Raw genomic sequence first — 6,384 nt, 5'->3', positions numbered from 1 at the left:
TCCAATTTTTAAAATGCTTGCTACATGTATTGCCAAATTGGCTTCCAGCCTTCCAGAAAGGCTGGAGAAATTTGGAGAAAGTTTGGAAAATGAGTCAACAATGAATATGTACAATAATCACTGTCAATCCTCAAATGGCTAAAACTGATGTGTACTAGCTTTATTTTAATTTTTTGAATATGTCTATTGAATATTTTTCACATGTTCATTAACAATTTGTGTTTCATGAATTATGTTAATTTCTACTGTTCATTTAAAATACTTTGTAGAAACTTTTATAGAAAAATGATAGTAATCTTTTCACTGCTATGTAAAATAAAATTAGTTATTTACTTTTTAATTTTATGTTAATTTTCTTTGTTTCAGAATTTTAACTATTCATGGTGTCAAACCTATCAATCTTCTTATCACCTTTTCATATATGCTTACATTTCTCAGGTCCATTTGGATAGATATACAGGTACATTTCCTCCTAAGTTTTTGTATGGTTTTAGTTTTTACATTAAAGTATTTAATCCATGTAGAATTTATTTTAAAGTATGGTCTTAAAAAGAATTTAAAAATTTGTTTATTATTCCAACATATTTTTTTCCCAAATACTGATTGTTCAAGTAAGATTAACTATTATATCCCATGTTTTTGAAGTCCACTTCACTGTATAACAAATTTTTGTTTCGTAATTTGTTTCTGGGTTTTAACACACTGTTGTGATTATTCTAGTCTATAGTTTATCTAATGGTGCAAATCCCTATACAAACCCCCCGTACATAATATCTTTCATTCACTTGGTGTTTTGGCATTGTTCTTATTTCTTTTTTTAGTGTAATACAATTATGAATCTCTATAGAATAATTTTACTTCTGGGGATTAGAGCTATATTATTCTTTAAACAAACAATGAATTTTCATTTCTCTTTATTTCTCCTAATTTGAGAAGTCTGTAGTAGAATATCAAACACACCTACACACAGTAAATCAGTTGCTTGCCAAAAAGATTTATTGAAGAAAAATGAGCAAAGTGAAAACAGACCCATTTAAGTAGTCTGTGCCAGAAAAGAATGAAGATTTATGTCCTTGAATCGCTAACAAGAGTCATAAGAAGAGTGTGATATTCAGTGTTTAAGACCTGGAAAACATGGACAAAAATTCAGAAAACACATTTTAACAGAAAGAAAATTAAATTGATGTATATGTTTACAGAACATTTTTCTGACAAATATGCATATTTGTAAAATATCATTTTGCTTTAGTTTGTATCTAACATGTGCCAAGAACCCTATCATAAATCTTATGTATCTTACATGTGGGTGCTAAACAATTACTGAATTGTCTTAATTCTTATATGAGGATTAAAAATTTTTTAAATAGAAGAGAATCACTGATGAAATACTAATGAAAAAATTGCTTAGAACAAGCATTTTGGGAGAACTTTTTAGGCTATGGTAATGTTTTGGAGAGGTTAATTTGCTTCTCTTCATATCCTTAATTCTCACTTAAGTATAATATTGACTGTTAACTAAATGATATGCATCATTAAATGTTGTAGAAATGAGCCCCTACATTGCTCTGTCTTCATACTCCCTGAAGGCTAGGACGAAAAATTTTACATTAAGTAATTGTTAGAATATTGAAACTTTGTGATACTAGGGGGACCCTTACACTGCGGTTTTTTTTTCTAAGTTTCCGTAAATCTGTTACATGACCTGTAGTCCTAAGCATCTGCATTTATTGAGTCGAATACTTGCCTTAAATGCCCACATTCTTTCATTTCTAAAGGTTTTTGCTTGTTGGAAAAATTTCTTAGATGTTAAGGCTAGCTGGCTAGACTATTGCACAATTCTACATGGTATCCCTTTTGTTGCTTTTAAATCATGAACTCATCGGGTTCTTCTTTCAGTAGTTCAAAGATATCCGTTTCAGTTGTGGAGGTGTCTTCCTTATAGTCTGGGGTATCTAATACAGAGGTAGTTCCAGAAAATGGCTCAGTGATCTTAGGTACAGTCTCTGTATTATCAGTTTCAGACAAATCTTCTTCTGTAGATGATTCTTCCACTAGGTTTGTAGCTATTGATGCAGGGACAACGAAGTCATATCTGGATTCAACAGCAGTAAGCAAAACAGAATGGGTCTCTGCTTCATTTGCAGTATCTCTCTCCATCCAAATACTGGCTCCCTCGGTAGTTTCTTCATCAGTTAGCAGAGTATCTTCCCGTTTATCTTTGTCTTTTTCAGCAGAGGTAGTGAGTTCAAACACAGTGATAAACTTCTCATCAGAGTCAGTTAATGTAGCCACAGCACTGGTGTCATCTTCTAAAACACTTAGGTCAATTTCGGTTATTTTCTCTTCTTCAAGGGCAGTTATGTCTGGAATAGTAGTGAAGCTTTCTTCAGGAGCAGGAGGGATTTCAGCCTCAGGAATAGTGGAATCAGTGACCTGGACAGCCTCATCAGCAGGGACATTGGATTTGATGGAGGAATTATAATTGCTCATATCAGCTTCATCCTTTTTACGTGGAAAGGCAGGAGCGTCAGCAACACCAGCACTGCTGTCCTTTAGTGTGCCAGAGACTTCAGAGGTTATTGAGATCTCTGCATCTCCTGTGTCAATGGTAGCTAAGAGGATATCTTCTTTTGCTATGTCAGTGGAAAAATCTATTAAAGAAACAGTAGTAACTGGTGATGAAATATTCCCAATTTTCACTGGCATGAAATGTTCGGTAATAGAGTCTCTTGTTATGGAGTTTGTAGTGCCAGTCAGAGAGGTAATTTCTTTCTGTAGGTGAGTTGTTGACTTAATAAAGTCGGTCCCCATATCATCTTCTGATTTGAGTTTTTCCTTTTTAGCTGTCAGTTTGTTGTCTGTAGTTGTTGAAAAATCGCTTTCTAGCATATATTCATTTACTGAAGTGACGTGGTCTCCTTCTGAAGTAATAGTTGTTTCTGATTTGGGAATAGCATTGTCAGCCCCAAAGAAAATGGTTGCTGCAGTTGGTGTTTTACTGCTTTCTGTTGGAGGATGAGAATAAATTTTGGGCAAACCATCTTCAGCCATGGGGCGAAGTGGCACTGTGCACTCTCACAGGTCTTGCTTCTGGACTCAGTGGTATCTCTAGGCAGGAGAGCAGTGTTCATCAGAGTGATTAAAGCTTGGGTCATCATGGTGATTGTTGCATCAACTATGGGAGCAATGTCACTGGGTCTCCTTGGAGGTTGTTTCTAGGCTGCGATTGGTTATCTAATTGCAGGAATATTGAATGAAAAGACTATAGAGTCCGCTCTGATTATGAAATCAAATTCACAGCCAAGCATTTCAATTGCAGGGAACTTAAGATTTACCATGTTTCTGTTTATAAGGAAAATGTCTCCTGATATAGAGCTAGGGTTACTTGAAACAGACATAGCAGAGACTGCCAGGCACCTTTTGGGTTTAGAATTAGTAAGGAAAACTTTGGAAGCCACAAGTTTATCAGCATCAGCTTAAAGTCGTCTATCTTCCAAGCAAGTAACAGAGTATTTTTGAGGTGAAGCCATTTTCCCTTAAGATTCATAGTATTAAAAAAAATTGGTATCTAAAAAAATTAATGGTGTTTTTGTCAGTAAGTATAGCTACAGAAGGTAATTAGGTAGCAGGGAATTCAGTTAGTTCCCTTATTCATAACAGGAAGTCCCACTTTTTCAGTAGAGATAATAACTAATAGTTATTGGCCTGTTTGGGTCTTTTTTTTTTTTTTTTCTTTTTTTGTTTTTTGTTTTTTTTTTTTTCATTTATTTTTATTTTATTTTATTTTATTTTTTTTATTATACTCTAAGTTTTAGGGTACATGTGCACATTGTGCAGGTTAGTTACATATGTATACATGTGCCATGCTGGTGCGCTGCACCCACTAATGTGTCATCTAGCATTAGGTATATCTCCCAATACTATCCCTCCCCCCTCCCCCAACCCCACCACAGTCCCCAGAGTGTGATATTCCCCTTCCTGTGTCCATGTGATCTCATTGTTCAATTCCCATCTATGAGTGAGAATATGCGGTGTTTGGTTTTTTGTTCTTGCGATAGTTTACTGAGAATGATGGTTTCCAATTTCATCCATGTCCCTACAAAGGATATGAACTCATCATTTTTTATGGCTGCATAGTATTCCATGGTGTATATGTGCCACATTTTCTTAATCCAGTCTATCATTGTTGGACATTTGGGTTGGTTCCAAGTCTTTGCTATTGTGAATAGTGCCGCAATAAACATACGTGTGCATGTGTCTTTATAGCAGCATGATTTATACTCATTTGGGTATATACCCAGTAATGGGATGGCTGGGTCAAATGGTATTTCTAGTTCTAGATCCCTGAGGAATCGCCACACTGACTTCCACAATGGTTGAACTAGTTTACAGTCCCACCAACAGTGTAAAAGTGTTCCTATTTCTCCACATCCTCTCCAGCACCTGTTGTTTCCTGACTTTTTAATGATTGCCATTCTAACTGGTGTGAGATGATATCTCATAGTGGTTTTGATTTGCATTTCTCTGATGGCCAGTGATGATGAGCATTTCTTCATGTGTTTTTTGGCTGCATAAATGTCTTCTTTTGAGAAGTGTCTGTTCATGTCCTTCGCCCACTTTTTGATGGGGTTGTTTGTTTTTTTCTTGTAAATTTGTTTGAGTTCATTGTAGATTCTGGATATTAGCCCTTTGTCAGATGAGTAGGATGCGAAAATTTTCTCCCATGTTGTAGGTTGCCTGTTCACTCTGATGGTAGTTTCTTTTGCTGTGCAGAAGCTCTTTAGTTTAATTAGATCTCATTTGTCAATTTTGTCTTTTGTTGCCATTGCTTTTGGTGTTTTGGACATGAAGTCCTTGCCCACGCCTATGTCCTGAATGGTAATGCCTAGGTTTTCTTCTAGGGTTTTTATGGTTTTAGGTTTAACGTTTAAATCTTTAATCCATCTTGAATTGATTTTTGTATAAGGTGTAAGGAAGGGATCCAGTTTCAGCTTTCTACATATGGCTAGCCAGTTTTCCCAGCACCATTTATTAAATAGGGAATCCTTTCCCCATTGCTTGTTTTTCTCAGGTTTGTCAAAGATCAGATAGTTGTAGATATGCGGCATTATTTCTGAGGGCTCTGTTGTGTTCCATTGATCTATATCTCTGTTTTGGTACCAGTACCATGCTGTTTTGGTTACTGTAGCCTTGTAGTATAGTTTGAAGTCAGGTAGTGTGATGCCTCCAGCTTTGTTCTTTTGGCTTAGGATTGACTTGGCAATGCGGGCTCTTTTTTGGTTCCATATGAACTTTAAAGTAGTTTTTTCCAATTCTGTGAAGAAAGTCATTGGTAGCTTGATGGGGATGGCATTGAATCTATAAATTACCTTGGGCAGTATGGCCATTTTCACGATATTGATTCTTCCTACCCATGAGCATGGAATGTTCTTCCATTTGTTTGTGTCCTCTTTTATTTCCTTGAGCAGTGGTTTGTAGTTCTCCTTGAAGAGGTCCTTCACATCCCTTGTAAGTTGGATTCCTAGGTATTTTATTCTCTTTGAAGCAATTGTGAATGGGAGTTCACCCATGATTTGGCTCTCTGTTTGTCTGTTGTTGGTGTATAAGAATGCTTGTGATTTTTGTACATTGATTTTGTATCCTGAGACTTTGCTGAAGTTGCTTATCAGCTTAAGGAGATTTTGGGCTGAGACGATGGGGTTTTCTACATAAACAATCATGTCGTCTGCAAACAGGGACAATTTGACTTCCTCTTTTCCTAATTGAATACCCTTTATTTCCTTCTCCTGCCTGATTGCCCTGGCCAGAACTTCCAACACTATGTTGAATAGGAGCGGTGAGAGAGGGCATCCCTGTCTTGTGCCAGTTTTCAAAGGGAATGCTTCCAGTTTTTGCCCATTCAGTATGATATTGGCTGTGGGTTTGTCATAGATAGCTCTTATTATTTTGAAATACGTCCCATCAATACCTAATTTATTGAGAGTTTTTAGCATGAAGGGTTGTTGAATTTTGTCAAAGGCCTTTTCTGCATCTATTGAGATAATCATGTGGTTTTTGTCTTTGGCTCTGTTTATATGCTGGATTACATTTATTGATTTGCGTATATTGAACCAGCCTTGCATCCCAGGGATGAAGCCCACTTGATCATGGTGGATAAGCTTTTTGATGTGCTGCTGGATTCGGTTTGCCAGTATTTTATTGAGGATTTTTGCATCAATGTTCATCAAGGATATTGGTCTAAAATTCTCTTTTTTGGTTGTGTCTCTGCCTGGCTTTGGTATCAGAATGATGCTGGCCTCATAAAATGAGTTAGGGAGGATTCCCTCTTTTTCTATTGATTGGAATAGTTTCAGAAGGAATGGTACCAGTTCCTCCTTGTACCTC

At 36.3% G+C, this 6,384-nt stretch overlaps 1 protein-coding gene across 1 annotated transcript; it reads right to left on the bottom strand.

Moving 5' to 3' along the window:
* Positions 1-974: 974 nt before the first annotated feature.
* Positions 975-3,110, bottom strand: CABS1 (calcium binding protein, spermatid associated 1). Its single transcript, NM_033122.4, has 2 exons — positions 1,745-3,110; positions 975-1,125 (listed from the first exon to the last, which is right to left on the bottom strand). The coding sequence occupies exon 1, from the start codon at positions 3,049-3,051 to the stop codon at positions 1,864-1,866; it is 1,188 nt and encodes a 395-aa protein (NP_149113.3). The 5' UTR covers positions 3,052-3,110; the 3' UTR covers positions 975-1,125; positions 1,745-1,863.
* Between the last annotated feature and the right edge of the window lie 3,274 nt (positions 3,111-6,384).

The sequence above is a fragment of the Homo sapiens genome, chromosome 4 (genome assembly GCF_000001405.40).
Source record: "Homo sapiens chromosome 4, GRCh38.p14 Primary Assembly".
Lineage (NCBI taxonomy): Eukaryota > Metazoa > Chordata > Mammalia > Primates > Hominidae > Homo > Homo sapiens.
This window is presented reverse-complemented; position numbering and strand designations above follow the sequence as displayed.